Genomic DNA, 25426 nt, shown 5'->3' with positions numbered 1-25426 from the left:
GAACAAAACTATGTCAGATAGGTTATTCAGGTAACTCAGCCAAGACTGATCATGAAATTTATACTGGAATAGTTTATGTTTGAAAATTTCCTTTTAAGTATCATAGATAAGGTACACTATCAGAGTGTGTATGTAGGTATGTGTGTGCACGTGTGTTTCTTAGAAAAAAAACTCAGACACTTCAACAAAGTACCAAAAAATGCTTTTGGCCAACTACCTTATTCCAAATTGGAAGATTTTTTTTTTCTCCCACGGGAATACTTTGTAGCTTATATTTTCAGTTGATGTTTAGCAGACAATGTGTACAAGACCTATAGGCATCAGTTTTCTAAATCATTAGTTTAAAATGCAAGTGTAATAGAAATCATATTGGTAAATGTACAGGAAGCAAACTTTACCTCTACCCTCTTAGGGTCCCAGCTGGGCCTGAGAATTAATTTGACATAAGACAGAGTCATAGGAGAAAAGCAAACAAATTTAAAATAAGTTTTAGGTGGCGCAGGAGCCCTCATAAAGAAATGAAGACCCAATAGGTGGAAAAACGTACATACTTTTATGTTAGATTGAACAAAGAGACCTAATTGTGGAAATGTGACTAAATTATGTGGTGAGGCTAAAGGAAGATAATTATTTTAACACATTTTAACAAGGTGTGTTTGTACAGAAGCCCCTCTGCGCCCCCTGCCATGACTTCCCATGGAATAATGTTTTTTTTTCCTCCTGGTACAGGCAAGGCATCTTTCACATGAAAAATTGTATCTCCTGCTTTCAGGAAGAAAAGGGAAAGATTAGAATGCCCTTCTTACATCTGCTGTTTGTCAAGTGCCTTTAGCTTAAAGTAATCCTTACGTCAAAGTGGCATATTTTGGAGTGGCATAAATCTGTCACCCGTTATAAGTAGAATGTTAGAAGCATTGAGTGTATAGTAGAAATGCAGACGTTCCTCATTCCATGCTTGTACTCCATAGAATTGAGACTAAACTGGTATTTTGTGGGTTTTTTCATGTTGAATGTATACAGAAAGTCTGTATTTATGAATCCCTGCAATAGCTTATAATATAAAGTGAAGAATCTTTGAGTTAACTGGCACTACACCTGCTTCTCATTATCTAGTGTGTTTAAAAGCTTGGATCTTCACTCATTACATTTTCCTAAAGGCAGACATATCTATACTTTTTAACGTATATATAAGTTGAGCATCCCAATCCAAAAGTCTGAAATCTGAAATGCTCCAAAATTCTTAGATTGCTGAGCACCAATATGATGCTCAAAGGAAATGTTCATTGGAGTATTTTGGATTTCAAATTTTGGGATTAGATATGCTCATCCAGTAAGTATAGTGCAAATACTCCGAAATAAAAAAAAAATCCAAAATTTGAAATACTTCTGGTTTCAAGTATTTTGGATAAGGGATATTCAACTTGTATAAGTTAATATTGAATACCTTTAGATATGTTTGTGAAAAAATTTTATCCATATAGTTTTTTTCTAAAATTTAATGTCGGTGGTCTCTAATAAAATAATTTCTTTCACATAGTATGAGGGCACACTCCTGCTGTCACTAATGGAGCAGCCACTTTGACTCATCTTTGGCTGACAGTACAGTAATAGAGCTAGAGTTGGATAAGCATATATAATTGTGTGGAAGATGACTTTAGGAAACTACTCCTACTTCTTTTTTTTCTAGTTGCAATGATGATAATAAATACTACTAAGGCCTTCTCTTGCTTTTGAATAGTAATTATTACAAAAATATAATCTAATTTTTGTAAGGTATACTAAAGGTGAAATAAACAGATTGGAAATGTTTTAGGTCACTTACAGTATAGAAGTGTCTCTTGTGACAAAGTTTGTAGCAACTCGCAAGTGAAAAAGATTACCTAAAAGCCATTTTATGTCTCTCTCATCACAGATATGATTGGGTATGAAATGTTTCCATTGCGTGTGATGTCTCTGTGAAATATCTTTATGCTAACCCTCTTGAGTATATGATCATTGCACAATGATGGAAAATGTCCTATCGTCCCATGATATGGATTTGCCAATTTACGACTTTAGTTTGCATTTCTAGTGTGATAAATATCTTTCATAAGTTTATTTTAAAATTGTGATAATTGTCTGGTAGTGTTGTTCAGTGCATATTACTACTGGATTTTACTGGATTATATCATAAAGACATGGTGATTCTAATGTGTTGCTTTATAGTTGCTTAGAATATTTTCTAAGCATTTCTCTCAGTAATTTCTTTCTCTGTGAAAGAAATTAGTGTCTTTTCCTTTACAACACCTACTTCTGTGTAGATAAATACATTTTCTATTGTAGCCATGATGTTCTTCACCAGCACACAAAATAACTGATTATTGCAGATAGTGACAAATTTTCTGCTTGCTTTAAGATGGAAGCACATAAAAAGTAAATTTTGTATTTGTATTTGTATGTATATATAACTGTGACATTTCTAATAGTGATTTTTAACTACTTCACACTGACAGACTCTTCAATTGACTCTTCAATTAAAAATGCCTGCAGCAATTCTTTCATTTATTATAAATATTAATTTTAGTAATTATATTTGAACTGTTCTCCTAGATAATATGTTCCATTTACTGAAAACACAAATGTGATTCTTTCTATGGCCTCCAGTTAGCTTGTACACTTTCCACTTTGAAGTTTTTCTATCATTTTTATCTAGCTTTAAATTGAGAGCAACTGAGATACTTTCACTGTTTCCTGCATAGTGAATTGTGAAATTCTAGTATCTAAAAATAAATCTAAAGTAAATTATTTATTTATTTAACACCTAAAATATATAATTTATTTTAGCTACTTTGACCAAAGGACATTAGAAGAAGAACTTTTGGCTTATACATTTCAAGGCAAACATAACCTTTCTAAGATGTATAAATGTATTTTGATTTTTAGGTTTGTGATCATAGTGTGACCTTGTGAACAATTTGTATGCAGGGAATATGAAACATAACTGAATAATTCAGAGGCAGAAACTATTTATGATAGAGTGCCTCTTTCTAAGAATGGAAACTTCAAGTTATACTGAATATGAGTTCTTTTTAGTTCCAAGTCATTTGGAAAAGAGCTAATTCAATCACTTTTTTCATTGATACCTTATTAGATAAAACATTAGCCCCCTAGAGTGTTTTGTGAAGGAAATATGCCTAATAGGAGATGATAGTTTTAGCAATAAATGAGCATTAGAACTATTATTTATTAATGAAATGAACTGGTGGTCTGAAAGTGATGATAAACAGACAACTGTGGAAAATGAATTATTAAAATTCCATGGAATTCCTTTTGAAGTTTATGAAGTACAAAAAATTTTTCACGTTTTAAAAACCAGTGAAAAGTAAAGTAGAAAAGTAAAGTTTATGTCTTTAGAAAAGTATGAAACATGAATATTAAAATTCCATAGAATTCTTTTTGAAGTTTATAAAGCGCAAAAAAATGTTCACTTTTTAAAAACCAGTGAAAAGTAAAGGAGAAAAAGTAAACTTTATGTTTTTAAATCATGCGAAGCTTTTCATTTATGCCTTCAAGACACATTTTTGAGCACCTGTGATTTGCCCACCTGGATATTGGCTTGTGGAACCTGATGGGTGGGATGCGTCAGGAGAAATAAGAGTTACATGTAACCAGGCAGAGATTACTAGATTCTATAATATATGTGGGAAATGGACATTTTAAGCAATTTAGTATCTAGTCATACCTGTTTTGATTTTTTCCCCTATATAATGCTTCTTTGGTTAAAAAAAAAACAAAAGAAAAAGAAAAAACAAAAAAAAACAGTAGATTCTTGGAGTTGCAGGAAGGATGAAAGAATGGGACTTTTTATATTAAGAGCACTTGACAGCTGGGCATGGTGGCTCATGGCTGTAATCCCAGCACTTTGGGAAGCCGAGGCGGGTGGATCACCTGAGGTCAGGAGTTCGAGACCAGCCTGACCAACATGGTGAAATCCTGTCTCTACTAAAAACACAAAAATCAGCTGGGTGTGGTGGCACATGCCTGTAATCTCAGCTACTCGGGAGGCTGAGGCAGGAGAATCACTTGAACCTGGGAGGTGGAGGTTGCAGTGAGCTGAGATTGCACCATTGCACCGGAGCCTGGGAAACAACAGAGAAACTCTGTCAAGAAAGAAAGAGAGAGAGAGAGGGAGAGAGAGAGAGAGAGAGGGAGAGAGGAAGGAGGGAAGGAAGGAAGGAAGGAAGGAAGGAAGGAAGGAAGGAAGGAAGGAAGGAAGGCACTTGACAAAGAGAGGAATTGGGACTGAGTTTTGGGAAATGTTTAAAGTAGTCAGAGATTTTAAGGACAGAGATTCAGGTCATAGATAATAATGAGTGCACTGAACCTGTGAGCCTTCTGAATTCTTTTGCCACTATCACTAAGCATTAAAACATAACCTGATGCCTAGAAGGGGCAGGTAAGAGGGTCAATAGATGCTACCAGTACTAGGGTCTAATCCCCACTCTCAAGGAAGGATGGAAGGGAGGGAGACAATCAGTCCTTCACAACACATTGTAGCAAATACTCTAGATGGGGGTATGAGAGAGCCTCTTCGAGAAGTAGAGCATTTGTGTATGAAAACCCATGAAATCTCCCAGGAGGATTTGGTAGAACAGAGTGTTCTGAAATCAGTGAAAATAACTATTTGGTAAAAATCCTGCATTACATAAAGCACTCTAGATGCTGTATGTTTTGTGAATGAAGTGATTTATGCCTAGAGTGGTTAATGGGTTTCAGCTGCATTGAAAATATTCTGCCTGTACAATACAGAATAATCTTGTGATACACGAGAATGAATTTTCATTGCATTTTTTATTGTCGAATTGTAGCATTTTCCTTGTGTAACTTCTCTAGAGCAGCTAGAATAGCTTTTATTTAAAATCAGCCATTTCAAATTTTAAAAAAGGTCATTAGACAGTGTTGACAGGATCCAAATGAAGTATTCTCTTCACACTTTCTTTGAAAAAATGGTGCTTAGACTTTAATTGGTTATATTTTCTTGTTGCTTGTAGTACATGCTTATTCTTTAGAAAATTTTGATAGGAACTAAAATAATCTGTATTTTATAGAAAAATATTGGTAACAATAGTTTTATGGTTTTTGTTAATAAGTCATAAAGCCTTACCTTGTGGTTTTTCATCAAATGTTTCTCATGGTTCCCATAAACAGTGCTGGAACCTGGCAACCTCACATGCTTTACCTAGATATAATTTTCATTTGACTGGTATAGACAAAGGCATACATCTCATAAAAAGATCAAAGCCACTTAAAGGAGATACCATTATAATGAAAATATTTGTGTAACCAAAGATAACTAAGTCTCAAAAGAGAGCCCATTCTCAGAAGCTGTGTTCAACACCAAGAAATGTCCATGCAGTAAAATGAAACAGAAAGTCCCTCAAGATTAGCTTCATTGTTTGTTGGATTTGTTGCTGTAATTAAGACATGAAAAAAATATATATGATTTTAAAAAGAGAGCTTGGAAACATAATATGGTGGTGAAATAAATAATGTCACCCATCTCCCCAAGAGAAGAGGCAGTCTTAGCTTCCATTCCTACCAAATCAAATTTTGTCTTATGTCTTAATTATTCTGCTAGTGTAGAAATCATTTTCCACATGATTTCATTTTTAGATAGAAGAATGTCAGCAGAATTGTCATTAGACTTCATTGCTATCACAGATACTGTTCCTTTGGGCCGTTTAATTACAGAATTAAACACATTCATTTTATTAGAAATATATATTTACTGATAATAGGTCAGGAGCCAAGATTTAGTGAAACATATGCAGGGGTTATTAATTTAGCAATTTCATAAGTGCTTAGAATTTTTTTTAAAGTGAGGTTGAAGCCTTTATTTTACTTGTAAGATGTAATTGGTGCCTACATAACTGAGTGTACATAGAAAAATAAAATGGAAAATATGAGGCGCCCATAAGACAAAAAAAGTCTACTATTGAATATATTGAGATTCAAAGTTTGAGATTAAATTGCCTCATTTACATGGATATATACTTATAAAATATTTGATGGGTAATTATTTACTCTCCACTTCTTTTAATAAATAGCAAGCTATGTAAATAACTTTGCAAACACCAAACTACGTAAATAACGTTCTTTTGACTGAGCTGGAAGACAGCTTTTTTTGGAAATTTTTAATTTTCTGAAAACTTGTTGGGTAATCTTTAAAAAGACTTTGCTCTGTGTCAGTATCTTATTGGTTGTATTTGAAAAAGATCAGTTTGATTTTGAGTAACGTGGGTGATCTTTTTTGCATAAAGGAGCCATAAATGGACCCTGTAGTGAATCATGATAACTACACTTTTAGACATTATTCATAGTAAGACTCATGTGAGTTTTTGGTATATTAAGATTTGTCTAACTTGGTGAATCAAGTAAGCAAAAATGCAGTTTTTTACTATAGCCATCAGAATCAGAGCCATAATGTGTATTCTATTGATAGGTCATCACAGGCCCCATGACTTTCCCATTAAATAGAAGTTATTTTTGTAATATGACTCCTAAAGAATTCTGCTCCAACAGATATTTCTGTCACTAATGATTTTTCTGAAAAGAATCCTGATCACATTATTTTGCTTCCTAACAACAATATTATCAACCTACAGTACCTAGTATATTCAATAAAGAAACAAGGCAAGAAAGCCCTCTCTTACCACTTGTATTTGACATTATGCTAAAGGTCATTACCAGTGCAGATTAAGTCAAGAAAGAGAAATAAAAGATGTAGGAATGGGAAATGAAGATTCCAAACTGTTATTTTTTGTAAGTATGATATTGCCTTCTTAGAAGTCCCAAGAGGAATCTGCAGAACTATTAAGACAATTATGCAAACTTAGTAGTATAATAGCTATTATATACATGGTGAAACATGACTAGATATCAAGAAATAGAAAACATACTTTTAAAGAATTGGCCATTTAAAATAGCAGTAAAAAATTCAGGATTGGTTACCTCTGGAAAAGATGAGAATGAATGTTATTGGGGAAGAGTGAGTATACAAAGACACCAAGTTACAGTACTTATATCTGAAGCAGAGTGGGAGCATACAGATGTTCATTACATTATGCTTTATCTTTTTATGTATAAAATATAAAATAATACTTCCTTTTTTTTTTTTGAGATAGATTCTCGCTCTTCCACCCAGGCTGGAGTACAGTGGCACAATCTCAGCTCACTGCAACCTCCGCCTCCTGGGTTCAAGTGATTCTCCTACCTCAGCCTCCCAAGTAGCTGGGATTACAGGTGCACACCACAGCAGGCTAATTTTTGCATTTTTAGTAGAGACAGGGTTTCACCATGTTGACCAGGCTGGTCTGAAACTCCTGGCCTCAATTGATCCATCCACCTCAGCCTCTCAAGGTGCTGGGATTATACTATGAGCCACCGCGCCTGCTATAACAGACTGTTTCTCATAACTGCATAAGTGAAAATATTAAAAGTTGACATCAGTGACTTCACATTACTTATAAATATTAGATCGTCCCCTAATATATGTGAGGCCTAAGGCATGGAGGTCTAAATACTACATGTCTAAATATTTAACATTTAACTATAAATTAAGTTAGCAAACTGTTAAATGAAATATGTTACTTTTCCTAACTTGATAAATATACCTCCATATGGCTAAAACCAGCAAAGATGACTGAATTTAATTATTATTACACACTTGAGTATTCTGTTGAAAGGTCTGTGATGTTTGGAAGAGTAATAAAATTAAAATATACATAAGCGTTAAATTACATATATATTCTAAATGAAAATTCCAAGCTGTTATTTTTCAGTTTTTTAAAATACATTTTTACATTTTTTTTCTGGCCTCCATTTCAGCAATCACTATGTTGTTATAATCAAGATTTTCACATGATATGCATTCTATTGACAACAGTGAATGATATGAAGGATTAAAATAATATTTAACTGTATTTAGTATAGATAATTTAAATATATGTTAATGAAAATGTAGATGAAAATAAGTGTAAAAATTTAAAAGTAAATTTTTTCAAGTCTTTCCAAAAGATTTTTTGTAAAATATCAAAATGTATCTTTTCAAACCAAAAGTCAAAATATAAATATTAACATAAAATTACATCAAAATTATTTAAATAGAACTGAATTTGTAAGTATTTAAAGAATTAATTACATTTTATTACATATTTTTATGAAAGGAAATCTATTCATAGGTTTGAGGGTTCAATTTCTACGTGCTTGTCAATGTAAAGAGTATCATGCTCCATGCATTTCATACCCTCAACTACATACATGTAAATTTAAGTAGTCACAAATGTTTCCTCTGTCACCATGCACAACTGTGGTGAATATTGTGTTTTCCTGAGTATCTCTAGAATTCTAGAATCACAAGTTGAAACATGAAGAGCAGAAAGAACAGGACAGGGGCACTCAGCTACTGGCAAATGATACTGAGTGTACAAGAATCTGTGGCCTCCAAGCTGAGAAAGCTTGTCAGGTCATTTAATTTCCTTCTTCTAGGCACTTCTAAGCTAAGTGCTTAGATGGCTGAAATCCTGCCTGTGATCAACTGGTGAAGTTTCATGGCATTTGGAATCAATCCATTGTGCTTTTTGTTTTTTGTTTTTTATTTTTAGAGTATAAAATATATGGAAAAACATATGTCTGGGTCCTTAATGGTGTTAGTTTTTTATGAGTAAATACCTGGTGAATAATCAGAGTTAGAATGTCACACTTTGCTAGTGCTGAATGCCAGATCTTGATTGGCATAGGGACCCATGTGTTCTTTAATAAACTTAATTTTTGTAAAACTTGTGATGTGCAGGTTTCTCAAAAACACAGGCACCAAAAAAGTAGTGCCTCTTGCCGAGGCCTAAGCGCAGTCTGGCTCAAAATAGCTAGTGTAAAGTCATTAGCAGGGCAGTCAAACCCTTTTGATCCTGTCTCCCGCCAAATTTTCCAGATCCGTCTTACCTGCCTATGCCTTGATCATTCCATAAATTCACCATTTGGTTTTGCATTTTTGTATTTTGGCACAGGCTGTCATTTTTTTCTCCCTTTCATTATCTTGTGCCTGCCCACCTTAATCTGGACAATGACTACTCCCAGACCTACTCTAACATGAAGTTTTGCTTCTGACTAAGCCAGTTACCCCACACAGCATTTGCAGTATAATTGCACAGTGATTCTGTGTGTGAAAAGACTGTGAACTTTGCCAAGGCAACTATGGGAGCTAACTCATCCTTGTATCCCTGTAGCCCAGAACTGGGAACAGAGTTTAACAGCTGTTTCATGACACAGCTAATGGCCAATTTCTGCACAGCAAAGGTTCATCTAGAACAGGGTTCAGTGAAATATGGCCCTTGAACCAAATCTGGCCCATTCCTATTTCTGTATAAAAGAAGTTATGTTGGAACACAGCCACACTCTGGCTTTCATATTGACTATGGCTGCTTTCCCTCTGTAACGGCTGAGTTAAGTACTTGCAAGAGAGACTTATATCCCACAAATCCTAAAATATTTATTATCTGCTCTTTATTTAAAAAGCTTGCCAACCTCTGACCCTAGTGAATTAGTAATAGATAACTTTAGAAAGATTAGTTTAGGACTGATTATGTCTGGCTGTTAATAGGAAAGTCAGAAATTTGAACATTATCTAGAAGGGACTAAAAAGCCGTTTACATTTTGGAACAGGAGAGTAATAAGTTATGAGAGGTATCCTGGCAAGACTGGTTTGGGAAAATTATGAATGAAAGATTAGATTGGAAATGGGATATAGGTAGAAAATGCAATTATTTGATAATACTATTGGTTCAAATGGGAGATGATTAGGCATTAGGCAAAGGTGGTAGTAATAAAAATATGAAGTAGATTGACTCATAAGAGTCCTTAGGAACCAATAATTGGTTTGATGTCTGTTAGATTCTGCTCCCTCGTATTAACTCACCACATCTGTCAGAGAAATTCACCAGCTGGAATACTGAACTAACTTCATGCTTATCTCTGGTGGGTCAAACCTTAAAATTAAGCACGAGCAGCAGTCTTGGCTACCTGATGAGAATTGTGCTGCCTGGTAATGATTAGATTTTTGTCCCTGACATTGGGAGTGGCAATCCAGTCTTGTTCATGACTCCTTAAGCTTATAGGCAAATATTCCATCAAAGTGTCAAAGTTCCATTCTGTTACACTTAGCATCCATGTCAACTAACCCCCCACTCATTTCACCAGCCTTTTCTACTCTTTTTTGGTAAAGTTCTCGCATGTTTCAAAAGGTATAGACAATTCCCAGAATGTAGAGGCTAAAAGAAGGAAACATAGAAGGGCGAATATTTTGGTAAACCATCTGATAGAAAAGCATGTTTTAAAAATTTCTTTGTCATTATTATTTAAAACGTACACAAATATATATTTTTCAAAATTAAAATATTTTCAATACATCAACACATTGTGGGAAGTTGTAAATAAATGTTTTAATTAAAAATATTTTCATAAAGAAATGTATCCGTTTTTTTGAAGAAATGATATAGAATGTTCACACTACTTTCAAGTTACATTCATCTCCCCTTTAAATGAAGTTACTGTATTAAAATAAGTATATTGATATTGTCAATTTAAATTAGGACGTACTCAGTGGAAAGAAAGGGGAAACTATAAGGCTTCATCAAGTTGTGGAATATTGAACTTTTTTGATTACTAAGCCTGATTTTCATAAAAATAATAGTCATTAACTAGGACCTACTTAGACTGACAACTACATTAGGCTGAAGTTTTACTTAGACCTCCAGTGATTTTATTTACAGTTGAAGAGCTTCGACCAAACCATTTTCAAAGCTGCTTAAATCTTCCTTTTTGTGAAATGCTTCTGCCTATTCCCCACTGAAGCTTTAAACTCTGTCTGCCTAGTATTTGCTGGGAAGCTGCAGGCAAATGAAACATTCCTCTCAAATTAGCCATGATTATATTTGGGTTGTTCATATAAATTGTTTCATTTCACAAAAACCTAATGAGATTATAAATTATGTCATTTCTACAAGTCATTATGGAATTATGTAGACTCTAGTCAAGGAGAAATTCTACTTCACAAAATATTTGGTACAGAGTCTTTTAAAACACTGTATTGCATTCTTCTGTCACAAAAAAAACACAAACACAAAAACAAAGCATAGTCTTTCAAACAAAGAAAATATATGTGCTGAATAGGAAATGATAATTACCATTAAATTAATGGATTCTTTAAATCTACTAGCTTGGTTTCACTGGGCCATTGTTTTTAGATTTAATGTGTTATCCTGCACTGACTGAAAAGTAATAGTATAAAATGAGGAAGGCTATTTTAAACGTCATTCATCAAAGTGCATGGTACTTAAATAGCTTTTTTGCCCAGATGGGCATTACTGGTTAAACCGTTATATTTTTTCAAGTAGTATTTGTGACTTTTTGAATCCCCTCCAAAATTCATGTTGAAATTTAAGTGCCATTGTAACAGTATTACCAGGTCAGATGTTTAAGAGGTCATTAGGCCATGAGGATTCCACCCTCATGGCTGGGATTAATGCCTTATAAAAGGGTGACTTCAGTCCCCTTTTTCCTCTTTGCCCTTCTGCCTCCTGCTCTGTGTGGAAAAAGTATTCTCCTCTAGAGGATGCAGTATTCAAGGTGCCATCTTGAAATCAGAATCATCAAACCTGCTGGTTCCTTAATATTGGACTTCCCAGTCTCTAAAGCTGTGAGTCAATATATTTTTTATTATAAATTACCCAATCTGTGGCATTCTGTTATAGCAGCACAAGCAGACTAAGACAGTATTACACTGTTGAGTCACAGTAGTATATTTTATAAAGAACTTTAGGTACATTTTAAAGAGTAAGTTCTGATGTTATTATAGTCACATAATATTTCTCTATATTTTAATTTAAAGAAAGCAACCACCTTAAGAAGTATTTTTTTAGATGGAAGAACATTATTTGAACTACTGTTTTATTGCAAGAAAATCTTCCTACTATTATATGTTTGGTATAATAATATTATATTAATGTGAAATTTTATTATATTCTTCTCCACCCTATGATTACCCCTAACCATCTCACTGCTCTTTCTTTTGAAGTTCATTATTCACAATACCTTTTTTTTGTCACATCAAAGTAAATTTGGTATTTGATCATAAGACGGATTATGAAGAGGATGCCCCATTATGGAAAGAATTTAAGTAGGATATACTTGTGTATATAGAGACTACCCAAAATTGATATATTATTCCCATCCTTTAGGTTCAGGAAGACTGCCCTCTTAATAACGTTATTTACAGCATTCTCTGTTTTTAATTCCTGAAATTCCCCCAAATGGCCATGAGACTATTACCATGATCCTTTGCCTAATATGTCTGCTTTAATGTGCTTTTATATTACTCCAATCCTGTTTAAAAGCCAGCCAAAAACATCACAAATCATGCAAAACAAAATCATTTGTATATGCACAAAAAAATACCCTATATATTCTTTCCACTTGGTTGAAAGTGAAGTAGGCTTAGAGTAAAATACATTGTCTTCAAAACTCATCATACATTCTGTGTTCTCAGCCCCTGATTTTTTTACCCCCTTAAGTAGTAGCCCCTCCTTAAGAGGGGAGATCTCTCCTGCTCTCAAAATTATTTTTTCTACTTCTCCCCAAAAGGAGGAAATCTAGTAACCTTTCACAGAAAAAGAGAGACAGAGAGATGAATATCACCTCTTGCAAATGTTGCTTTCTTTTTTTTTTTTTTTTCCTGAGACAGAGTTTCACTCTTGTTGCCCATTGCTGGGGTGCAATGGCACCATCTTGGCTCACTGCAACCTCCGCCTCCTGGGTTCAAGGGATTCTCCTTCTTCAGCTTCCTGAGTAGCTGGGATTACAGGTGTGTGCCACCATGCCTGGCTAATTTTTTTTTTTTTTTGTAATTTTAGTAAAGACGGGGTTTCACCATGTTGGCCAGGCTTGTGTCGAACTCCTGACCTCAGGTAATCCGCCCGCCTCAGCCTCCCAAAATGCTGGGATTAAAGGCGTGAGCCACCATGCCCAGCCAACAAATGCTGCTTTCTTTTAACTTTTTTTTTTTTTTTTTTTTTTTTTTTTTGAGATAGAGTCTTGCTCTGTCTCCCAGGCTTGAGTGCAGTGTGGCACATTCTTGGCTCACTGAAACCTGTTCCTCTGGTTCAAAGGATTTTTGTGCCTCAGACTCCTGAGTAGCTGGAACTAGGAACTACAGGCATGCGCCACCATGCCAGCCTAATTTTTTTTGTATTTTTAGTACAGAAACGGTTTCACTATGTTGGCCAGGCTGGTCTCGAACTCCTGGCCTTCCTCAAGTGATCCACATGTCTTGGCCTCCCAAGGTGCTGGGATTTTCTTTTAACTTTTAATAAATGTAGCAGGAACATCTCTCCTCAATTCAACATCACCATAAAAAGAAAATAATAATAAAATGGAAGAAATCACCTAGCAGAGAGAGAAATTATTTTTGTGGTGGGGGCTCCCCCCAAATATCACAAGTCACTTCACTTGTCTCCAAAGACAACATTGAATAGTGCTTTGAAGGTGGTTTCAATCATGAGACTAAAGAGGTGGCATTTACCCCTACCAGATACCTGTTGCTTCCACTCCAAGGCCTTCTGAGGCTAAGGGGAAGGCTGATCCCATGGCCATGAGCATGAGCAGTTTTCCAGTGCTGCATATTTCAGTTTCAGACATGGGACAGGGAATGGTCTGACCTCTAGTTCTCAATCCAGAGAGTCAGCTTGCATCCAGTTCCAGTCCTGCACCAATTAGCTATGACCAGTGGGGCAGGATCTAGTTGAGAAATGACTATGATTGGCCTAGCTTGAGTTAAGTGCCCGTCCTGGAAGAGTCAATCATTGTCAAGGGCTGGAATATTGTGGTTGTCATAGTTTGGATCAGGTATCTACCTGTAGACCAACCAATTCTGGCCTAGGGGCAGCGTTATAGAAAAATTATGGCAGCTCCATGGAAACCTTATCTTGTTGATGCCAGTACAGGGAAAGGGGTTGTTGTTCCCAGATAATACAGGGTGTTAGGCAGACAAAAGAATAGACAACAATGTCATATAATAAAAGGTAAAAAGTATAAAAGCCAGAGACAGAGGTACAATATCATGAAGTTCTTAGAAGTGATATCTAGCAAGAAAGAATTCAAAGGCATTAGTCAGTTCAACCTTGAAGAAAAGATAGGATTTCGACTTAAGGACAAGTGGAAAAGTAACTTTCGAGAAGTAGAAAGCCAGGTAGCAGAAGCATGGAGGTGGAAGTGTTTAGAATATGTATTGGGTACTTGAGCAGTTTTGTTTGGCTAGATATCCGATATATTCTGTTTTAAGACTAAGTGTGATTAGTTTATGTGGCTTCAAGATTCTATTCTCTACTTGCAACCTATGCAAATTCAAATTCAGTGCAACTAAAATGACAAAGGGTGATTTGCACTATTTAACAAACAGGAGATTGGTGTTTGGAGCCTTTGCCATGAGAGAGGGAGGAGAGATAAGTGATCCTAGCAGCAGTATATAGGAGCAGTGTATTTGTAGACTTTGCTTGGCTATTCTTTGTTAAGTAATTAAATATAAGTCTTTTTAAAAATCTACTATGCCTCCTCAATCAGGAGCAATAAATAGGTTATCCTGTGCTACTAAATTCTGAGGTCTTTGTTTAGATAAATTTAGTATGTGTGCCAGATAGTATTTCATACTTAAAAAAACTATATTGTTTTTCATACTTTTGCAACATATATGTCTCACTGTAGTTTATCTTAGATTAAGAACTATTAAAGTTCTGAATCTGTGGTAGAATTTTCTTTGCATCCCCTTCTTTTTTCTTTTCACCTTTCTACCTTCCATAATATTTCTTTTGCAGGTCAGCTAAACACCTGGGCTCTGAAAGATTACTCATTTATTTGGTTCTTTGTCAGCATCACGTTCATGTTGCCAAAACCTGTGATCTCTTCCAAATATCCATCTTAGCCTTTCAGCAGTATTTGATATGGTTGGCCACTTCCTTTTTAAAATATGTTGAGAATGTTCTTCTTTTAGCTTCCTTGAACCCAAATAACCAGTCCTTTTTCTAGGCGTCCTTTACATTTTCATCCTTCTCTGCCAGATTTCTAAATTTTGGCATGCCCCTGAGCTTGATCCTGAATGTTCATCCATACTTAAACCCTCCCTAAGAAAATTGATCCTGTGTTTTTAAGTGCTGTCTTCATGCATCAGTGCTCAGATTCGTATCTCCAGATGGTATCACACTTGGATGTTCAAGAAACATCTTGAATTTAACATGTCTAAAAGGAAATTCTTCATTCCCTTCCTTTCTCCTTCCATCTTCTTTCCTCAGATTTCTTCCATTTCAGTAGATGGCACTATCCACCCAGTTACTCAAGACAAAAAGTTAGGCGGCATCCTTGGGGTCTCACTTTTTATTGCCCTCAACTGCCTGGTAAGGCCTTTTACTCTTCCACCAACGTCCTAGAGTCACGTGCTTTATTCCATCTCTACTGCTGCCTCACTGATTCAGGTCATCAGGGGCCTCCTAACTGGGCTGCATGCTTCCCCTCTTCATCTTCTAAACGTCAGCGTCTCTGTGGCAGCTGCAGTTATCTTACAGTTATCCTCAAACCCGATCTCTAGCCTACATGAAACACTTCAGTGGCTTCCTGTTGCTATTAGAATTAAAAGCGTTAAGTTTTCTCTGATTCCCTTGACCATGGCCTTTAGGGCCCTCACATTGTATGGCCTCTCCATCTCTTCCCTTTCCGTGCTTGCACCTCTCTGATCTTTCCATTCTTTGAACAGGTGAAAGGCCTTTTGTCCTAGCTAGATCCTCTTCCTTGAATTCTCTTCCTTTAGGTCTTTGTGTGGTTGGCTCTTTATTTTCCCCACTTCAGGGAAGAGTTTTTTCTGTGCATCTAACAAAATGGAACACACGCACACATGCGCGTGCACACACACACACTCACACACACCTGCTTCTAGCTACTATGACTATCTTGTTTTATTTCTTTATTCATGTTTATATTTTTATCTCCTCCAATAGAAAATTGAGCTTCATGAGGTCAGGAACCTTGTCCTTTTGGTTCACTGCTGTAGCACAGTGCCTGGCTGGCTCATAATAGGCACCTACTACATTTTGTTAAATAAATAAACAAATTTCTGTTCTGTGAGTGAGTTTAGCACTCGCGATGCCTTCTGGTTCAGAAATAAGAAGTCAGTGGAAAGTATACAAGAAGGACATCTGACATCTTTGGAAAAAAGAGAATGAAATGCACTTAAAATGGTTAGTGGAGATTGGAAGAAGGCTCCTGACATGATGCACTTTTCAGAAAGAGGATGAGATGGATATCACCTTAAAAATAGATGGTGATTCAAGCAAAGCAAACAGAACAAGGAGAAACAGGACCAAATAAAAAGTTTCCTTTAGGCAGAGCACAGAGCTTTTGTGATAGGTCAGCTGAACAGGCTGGCTGAAACTAGGAGGAGGGGTAGAATGGTAGAAATATCTGGGGACACCAAAAGAAATTATTGTCTTATCTACAGGGCAATAGCAGGACTACAAGATATTTGTCAAGATATCAAAGAGATATTAAAAAGGCAAAGTCCAATTTAGTACGGGATGGCCTGAAATCTAGTAGTAAAACTATCTCCATGGGAAGAAAGAAATCTTAGGACAGTAGAAAGAAGGATGGAGCCAAAGCTTCTCATCCCATTCTGAGTATCTAAATAGAAACTTTGTTGTCCCTGACTAAAATGTTATAGCACTGTTTCCCAAATTTTCATGTGTATTAGAATCACCTTAGGAGCTTGTAAAAAATAGAGATTTTCTGGCTTCCTTGAGATTCTGATTTAGTAGAACTTGTGTGGGTTTCAGGAAGCTGTACTTCAGCAAGTATTCCCCAAATGAAACTAATACAGTTCAAATGCAAGGCCAGGCCATGCCTCAAGAAACACTGGCTTATAGGGGCCTATAGTTTTGTCTGTGTTCACATACTGTTTAAACACAGTTTAATAATGTTGTGAATGCCTGAGGAAGTGGGTTGTATGTGTATGTAAGTGCACGTATGTGTGTAATTGTTGATTAGGTGGATATAGTGGAACTAACTAAAAAGACATTTCATTCTAAAGATTAGACGTTCTCGTTTCTATTGACTTTATTTACAACTATTGCACTTATGTATAATCTGCCCTTTTATTGGTTGAGTTTTAAAAATGTAATTAGTTTCAGATGATTTTCAAATAATCTGAATTTACAGAATCAGATTTTTAATTAGAAATTGGATGGTAGAAATGAAAGAGTGTGTTAATTAAATATGTGTTTTATTTTATTAGAAAGTTTCAATAGCCCCACCTGAAATTGATTCTACCTGGTTGATTTTCCTGAACTCTGGGAACAAATAATTACAGTTTCTGTTGCGTATGACCAAGTAAAAGCTGAAGAAACTATTTATATAGTAAAAATGAGCACCCTGGTAAAAGTGATAGCATTCTCTAGAGAAAAATATTCTTGTGTTAGAAAAACTTAAAGCTTCCTTTTCCAAGAGAATATTAAAATAATTGGAGTCTCCCTCTTTTTTTTTTGTTTTAATTTTTTTCAAGAAATTTTGTTCCTTTTTCAGAGGTTTCTTTTTGCATTCAGTTCAGGAACTGTTAAAACCTGGCTGTTTTCCAGAACAAGAAATTGATTAGATTGTAGAAAGAATAATGGAGACAGGCTAGTGGATTCAAGGAAAATTGTATGTGTAAAAAGCACCAGATACAATGCTTAGTGGAGTATTCTTCCCATTGCAATTATTCATTTAAAGACAGTTGCTGGCTGACTTCTTATGTAAACAGAGCAATGCCTGCCCAATGCCAGTTCATATTTTCACTGTTAGAGATTTTCTAAAGATAGAAAATGTTTTAGTAATCTTTGTGTATGTCTCCTTTGCCTAGCCCAGGGCCTGACACTCAAAAGTTTAATGAATGTCTAGATTAGACTAGAGCAGGTTGGAATAAAATATGTGATAAATTTGCTATGATTTGAACCCCCCAGCCTCTGGGCCTGGATTTGATGATCACAATTATAAAAATATAACCTACTGTGCCACTTTACACTTGGGGTGATTGATTTTGGTGCTTATCGCTAAACTAGCTCAAAGGGTTGTCTTCATCCAACATAATTACTATTCCTGTAATTACTGAATCTATAAATTTCATGCCTCTTTTGTTTCAAACAGAAAAATGGGCTTGGGAAATAAGAAAAACGAAGAAATCCTTAGTCAAAATAATATACACCAGGTGTTCTTTGTCTCGGCTTGATTTAGTTAGTCTTGCTCATCTAATACGTCATGCTTGTCTCTCCGTATCACTGAATTTTCAGCTTGGTTACACACACACACACACACACACACACAAACCTCACAAGAACCTGGTATTCAGAATAAAAAGAGCTACAGATAAAAACTTTTTGAAGCTTGAGTTTGCGTCTCTCTGAAGGTGAGCTGCCTTCAGTTAATTGCTGTTTTGTTGCTCCCTATGTTGATTACTTTTATCTGGAGCCCTAAAGACCTATGGGGACCTCTGGGGGTGACAACACCATGACTGAGCAGTGCATGGAGAGGCCGAGAAATGTCAGCATCAGAAACCTCCATGTGAGGATAATGAATTCAGGCGTTTCAGAAATCAACCAGCTTCAGAGAATGGCATTTGAGTGTAGTCATGCTTATTTTTGAAATGTAAGAGCTTGAGGCTCCCCTACTGAAATAAAGAGTTTTCAAACAAAGGCCTGGAGGAGCTGGATTGGCAGCTGCTTTCATATCTAAGGGAATGGTGCTGCTGTTCAACCTGATCCAAGGTGAAATCTAGAGATGAGGGCAAAGAAGAGAGATGCTCAAGGGTAGTTAAATTCACAGAAACTTATCAAAAAAAAAATACGTGGGACTTTTCTTGGTAATAGTCATGTTATTTATCATCTTTCAGGTCCCCACATACATAAAGACATTTTATTGTTCATACATTTAGTTGTTTAATTTTAAAAACTTTCTTGCTCATACATTTTATTGTAGAATTGTCTTAAGGACTTGGGGCAGCATTTTCTCACTGCTATGCACTGAATTATGTCCTTCTGAAATCCATATGTTGAAGCCCTAACCCCCAATGTAATGATATTTGGAAATGAGAACTTTGCGGGGTAATGAGGTCATGAGGGTGGAGCCCCTCATGATGAGATTAGTGCCCTTATAAGATGAGGCAGAGACCCCAGAGCTCTGTGCCATATGAGAACATAGCAAGAAGGCAGCCATCAGCAAGTCAGTAAGAGAGCCCTCACCAGAACCTAACCATGCAGGCACTCTGATCTTGGACTTCCAGCATTCAGAACTGTGAGAAAATGAATTTCTGTTGTTTAAGTCACCCAGTCTGTGGTATTTTATTATGGTACCCCAAGCAGACTAATACAAGTGCATAGTGATAATTATATGGATAAGTTATTGAGTGAAGATGGTGTGAATAAAAAAGATTTCATCTGTGTAAAATTCCCTTTAACCAATAGTGTATATTGAGGTATATATATATTTTTTGTACGTGAAAATCTGCCACTGTGTTTGCAATTGGTAATTATAGCTTAAGGTTCTTTTAATGTATTTCGTGTTCTTTGAACATTTTGTAAAATACAGCCATGGCAGTACTGAAGCAGAACTGAAGCTATGTGTGTATGCTTAGATTTAGGAAACATTGGAATCTTCCACAAACAGATCACTAAATAACAAACACCCAAGATTTGGGATTTACTCCTTTGGGTTCAAGGCTTTGTGTCTCTCGGAAACCTTTGGTAAAATGTAAATATCCTTAAAAGAGTAATTAACTTGAACTTTACTGTTATTTTTCCAAGCGTGGAATACTTTTTAAGATTAACAAATTGTCATTTTAGGGAGGAGAGTTATGACTCTGAGGAAGAGCAGATTAAACTAGGGAGGTTTCACAGTGGGGAGGATGGGCCCTGATGTGCTACCAAGAGTGAAGCAATAGAGGGAAGAGCAACCCTGAGAGAGCTCAGGTGGCACAGGGAAGCCAGTTGGTACTGAGTTCCTGGAATACCCTGTCCTCTCTGATCTCTGTGGCTTAAAAATCTTCCTTCTGCTTGCCTCTTCCCTCTTATCTGAATGTTCTCAAACCATCGCCTTTGTGCTGTTTTAAAACTCACTCCCATCTCCACAACCAACTACCAGATTTTATGCGATTATTCCTATCTCCATTTCTCTTTCTGTCACCGAGGCTTCGTGCTGAAATTGGTAGTTCTTTTAATCTTTTCTTCTCTTCACCCCAATTAGAAATTTCCTAAAGTAGAGTAACAGCAAAGAACCTGAAACCTGAGCCAAAACAACAAATGTAATAGATACTCAAGGATAAGATTTATGATCAGGCTTTGCTATGGGAAAAAAAATGTCAATCATGTCTTTAAATTATTACTCAAAGGTCATAGAAATCTGTTTGCTAGACAGAATCCTTTAGTTAATGTTATTCAGAGATACTTTTGCCTTATCTGTATCCTTTTACTCCTATAGCTCCCAATACCTGAATGTACTTTGACATGCCTAGAGAATTTCTGAAGAAGTTCTGCTTTGTATCAATTTTTAGCCTATACTTAAGTATACTGATGTCCATGTTCTCCTCAAAAAAAAAAAATTAGTTTGGAGAATAAAGGTAGGGTTCTTACATAATTTTCCTCATTAAAAATGGAGCTGAAATCAGGTTAAATACTAAAAATGAAAAGCTGTCTTAAATGCTGCTTGATTAATGAATAGGGAAAAATACAGAAGGGGTATCTCTACAGTGACTTCTTTTCTCGGGGTTCATCGGTGCTGCCTACCTGATTGTTTTTTGAAGGAGGGTGTCTTTTGTGATTAAGTCACTTGTCAGATTTGTATTGATATGCAAAGTTTTGTTTTATTTAATCTATCTCTAGAAGCTCCACCATCTGTTACTAAGATTCTTCCAGCAGGAAGTTCAAGAGAATAGCATTTGTAAGGTAAAAATATATCAGCCATAGCTAGAGCTTCAAACAATGTTTTATAATTAAGATATAGAACTCAGAGTAAATGTTGATGAAATGTAGTTGGTAAGAGCGAAATGAAGGCTAACACTGGAGAGTAGGCAAGATGGGAAAAGCTGAAAGGCAGGAAACATATTTACATTTCTTTTTGAAAATATTCAGAAAAGTCCGTCTTAATTTTATTTACTTTTAGAGGATGTTTAAAATTTAGTGTTTGTCAGAATCCATCTTTTCACCCATTCAATTAATACTTATTAAACCCAACAATGAATGAATAAGCATAGTTACAGTGTGTGTGTGTGTGCAAATGTATGCGCTTCCTGACACGTATAATCTTTTACAAATAATACAGAAAATAGGTAAAGTTTATCTTTAAATATACAAATTTTAAATACTGAATTAAAAACATGTTAAAAGTGGGTAAGAATAGTTAAATATTTGAACATCCTAAATAATATTAGACAGGTAGCTAGCATGACAGTGGGGAAATATTTAGATATTTAGATAAATATCTATGGAATGGAGCATAGCCACTTAAAAAAGGAAGGATGTAGTCAATGGATCACAGCACATGGGATTGTTAAACTGAAGAGAAAATCAGGGAAGAAAAGACTTGTTAGAATGGAGAGTGGTTATCATAGTTTTTGGAATCCTGAAATTATGACTTCTGATTTGAAATTAGGAATATAGCATAAGTAGACAATTTTAATTGGTTCATTGGCCTCAAAGTAAAGCATGTTTATTTCATGCAGCGTGTCTAGCATATGGCAATACACAGGTAAGAAGTTCAAAGAGATTATTTGATGAAAAGATGGCTCAAAGGATGATTACATCTAAAACAATTCAAAAGAAAAAATAAGAAATAACCCTTTTTGCACTCTGTGTTTCTTCAGGGTGATTTTGATAACAACAACAGAAAACTTCAAAAGGGAGCATGAGAGATGCTAAACATACTCTTTAAATAATTCTTGGAACATTAGTTGTGATTATTAAATGATGGCTTGGTCAAATTTTTGCTTTATAAATATATTTTTCTATTAATAGTAGCAGCAATAGTTCTCTTTATTACTCTTAAAAATATTCTTTTCATGCTTGTGTGTCCCTGTGTATATTTGAACACATTCATACCAACTGTACTACTACCTTTATTTCAATTGATATGTCATCTCATTGAACCCATTTCTACTGTTGTTTTAAAAAATAATCACTAGTACTAACTTTATTTCAATTTATATGTCATCTCATCAAATGCATTTCTACTCTTGTTTTAAAAAGTAATCACTGAACTTTGGTATTTTTCTTTTTATCATAAGTATAATGCAAGACATTAGAAACTTTTGAAACATGGAACGGGTCTTTCAAATTTTTGATTTTGCACTAATACAATTAGCTATATTATTAACTAACATAACAAATCCTACATAACTATCTTTTTCTAAATATGTGTTACGTGGGGTAGAATGTATTGTTTCTATTATACACTCCTTTGCTTTGTAAGTATGTTATGCATCCTTACTTCTTCCTATTTGGGGTGATACTGTTTCAATTCTCCCTGTGGGAAGAGAATATGTCTGCATCCCATTGATATTGGGCTTATCAGTGTGACTTGCTTTGGTCAGTAGAGTACAGATGCTCCTCGACTTGTGATGGAGTTACATCCCAATAAAACCATCATAAGCTGAAAATATCGTACATTGAAATACATTCAAAATACCTAACCTACCAAACATTGAACTTAGCACTTAATATTTAAGTATTCAGAACATTTACATTAGTTGGGCAAAAATCATCTGGCCACACAGTATACTGTTGAGTACCAGTTTGTTTTAACTTCATGATCATGTGGCTGTCTGGGACCTATGGCTCATTGCCACTATTGAGAGAGAGTGCCACCATCTTGAGAGAGTATTGATATAGCATATTGCTAGCCGGGGGAAAGATGAAAATTCAAAGTACAGTTTCTACTGAATGCATATTGCTTTCTCACCATCAGAAAGTGGAAAAATCCTGAGTCAAACCTTTATAAGTTAGGGACCTTCCATGTAAGTCTGCCAGTATGCCATGACCAAGCAAAAATGTTGAAAAATCATACTGTGGACTTTCCATTGCTCTTTTCTTTGTGTCATGAGAACAAACATGTCCCAGTGGGGGCTGCTCTTTTAACCTGGATCCCCAAAAGAAGGAGATGTGTGGAGCAGAGCTAAGCTGATCCCCCGTGACCCATGACCAACATGTAAAGTGAGTAAAATGTAAGGAAACAAGAAATAAACTGGTGTTATTATAAACCCCTGAGATTTGGAGGTTGACAAGAGCTGTGGAGGGTCTGAAATGTTACCCTGCTTGCAAACTAATGTGTAAGCCAGCCATTGGATCATGGATTCTAACAGAGGATTTAAGACTCAGGTCAGAGAAAAAGGGCAGTTTATTACTCATAGCAACAGCAGTAGCCAGAGTATCAGAATTTGTGCTGGTTCTCCGATCCCCCAGTTTCCACAGGGTAATGTGTGGAGGGCCAGGCGTTATAGGAGGTGGGTCTTGAACTTCAGGAATCTGAATTTTTTATATGAGGAGGTAAGTGGGCCAGCTCTCTGCTTTTTAGGGAGAGACGTTTATTTTCTAAGGCTGTACTCAAACTTGCTCTTTGTTCTAGAGAAAGATATCTTTATCTTCCAAGGCTGTTCGCTGTACAAATGTCCTTGAAAGTCTAAAATAAAGTAATATGTTCACAAAAGACCTGAAGGTCTTTTCAGAGATCTTTATAGGCACTGAAATAGTGGGGAAGATTTAGTTATTTTGAGAATGCAAAAGTAAATTTATTTTTTTTCTATTAAATTTTACTTTCAGCACAGTGGCTCACACCTATAATCCCAATACTTTGGAGGCTGAGGCAGGAGGATCACTTGAGGCCAGGAGTTTGAGGCCAGCCTGCGCAACACACTGAAACCCTGTCTCTACAAAAAATTAAAAAAAAAAAAATTAGCCGGGCCTGGGAGCACATATCTATAGACACAGCTGCTCGGGGTCTGATGTGGGAGGATCGCTTGAGCCCAGGAGTTTGAGGCTGCAGTGAGCTATGATTGTGCCACTACACTCCAGCCTGGGTGACAGAGCATGACCCTGTTTCTAAAAAAAAATAAAAAATGTATAAAACAATATGACTTTAAAAATCTCCTCTAAAGACATTCTGGATCCCCACTGGAGGATTTTATAAAAGTATAAAACACAGCCCCATTTCTAAAAAAAAATAAATAAAATATATTAAAAAAAATTGACTTTAAAAGTCTTCTCTAAAGACATTCTGAATCCCCACTGGGGGATTTTATAAAAGTATAAAAATCCACATGTATTTATATATGAGTGTAATATGTGTTGCTTATCCATACATGCACACAGTTTATTTAAGAAAATACAGGCATGCTAGAGATGTCAAAAACTTCTAATATACAAATTAATGTTGTACATATTAGTCACTTAAAATATATATTTTATAAATAAACCATGCAGGTCATGTGGACATAATTTATACTTGTAATATAATAGTGTTGATTGGAATTAATATGTTTTCCCATATTTTCTGAATCTGCTTTAGGCATTTGGATATTATAATAGACACATATTTGGTAAACAGATTGACAAGTTTCATATCTTCTGAATTATCCTTAAAATATTTTTGTAATTTGGTTAAAGTTTTCAGAATTAGTTGATAAATGAGAAATGGATATTTCAGTTCTTTTTCTTTCTGGCCTATGGTCATTAACAGGCTTTTGGGACCTTTCAGTAGTATTTTCAGAAAAATGAAAATTTAAATTCTTAGTAATTACAGTGAGAAAACTGTCATCTGGAGGTAAGACCCCTCTCCAAAGGCTTCACAAAGTTTTGGTGTATTAAACCTTTCCGGATTAAAAAATTGTTTAAAAGGCCAGATGTGGTGGCTCACACCTATAAAACCCAGCACTTTGGGAGGCTGAGGCTGGATCACTTGAGCCTAGGAGTTCAAGACCAGCCTGGGCAACATATGGAAATCTCATCTCTACAAAAAACATAAAAATTAGCTGGGCATGGTTGTGCATGCCTGTAGTCCCTCCTACTCGGGAGGATTACCTAAGCCTGGGGAGTTTGAGGATGCAGTGAGCCAATATTGCAACACTGCACTCTAGCCTGAGTGCAGCCGACGCAAGACCCTGTCTCCAAAAAAAAAAGTTTGTCGTCACCAAAAAGCATTATATTAATGGAAAAATGTTTCATTTTCTCCTTCTAATGGAAATTAAATTAGCAAAAATTAATTTAGCTTATTTTTCTTCTCTCTGTCTTACAGTAGATCTGTCTCTCTGTCTCTGTCTCTCTGTCTCTGTCTCTCTCTCTCT

At 35.6% G+C, this 25426-nt stretch overlaps 1 protein-coding gene across 20 annotated transcripts in view; it reads left to right on the top strand.

The window, feature by feature from the left end:
• Nucleotides 1-25426, top strand: part of IMMP2L (inner mitochondrial membrane peptidase subunit 2) — an 899849-nt gene that overhangs the window by 675949 nt on the left and 198474 nt on the right. For 2 of the 20 annotated variants that reach the window (XM_047420926.1, XM_017012703.2), the window contains exon 7: nucleotides 730-25426. This exon is cut by the window's right edge and continues 24070 nt beyond it. The exons of the other annotated variants lie outside the window; for them this stretch is intronic. In XM_047420926.1, coding sequence (XP_047276882.1) covers nucleotides 730-792 — 63 coding nt within the window. In that variant the 3' untranslated portion in view covers nucleotides 793-25426. The remainder of the gene's footprint in view (nucleotides 1-729) is intronic. 20 annotated transcript variants of the gene reach the window in all.

Source organism: Homo sapiens, chromosome 7, assembly GCF_000001405.40.
Source record: "Homo sapiens chromosome 7, GRCh38.p14 Primary Assembly".
Taxonomy (NCBI): Eukaryota; Metazoa; Chordata; class Mammalia; order Primates; family Hominidae; genus Homo; species Homo sapiens.
This window is presented reverse-complemented; position numbering and strand designations above follow the sequence as displayed.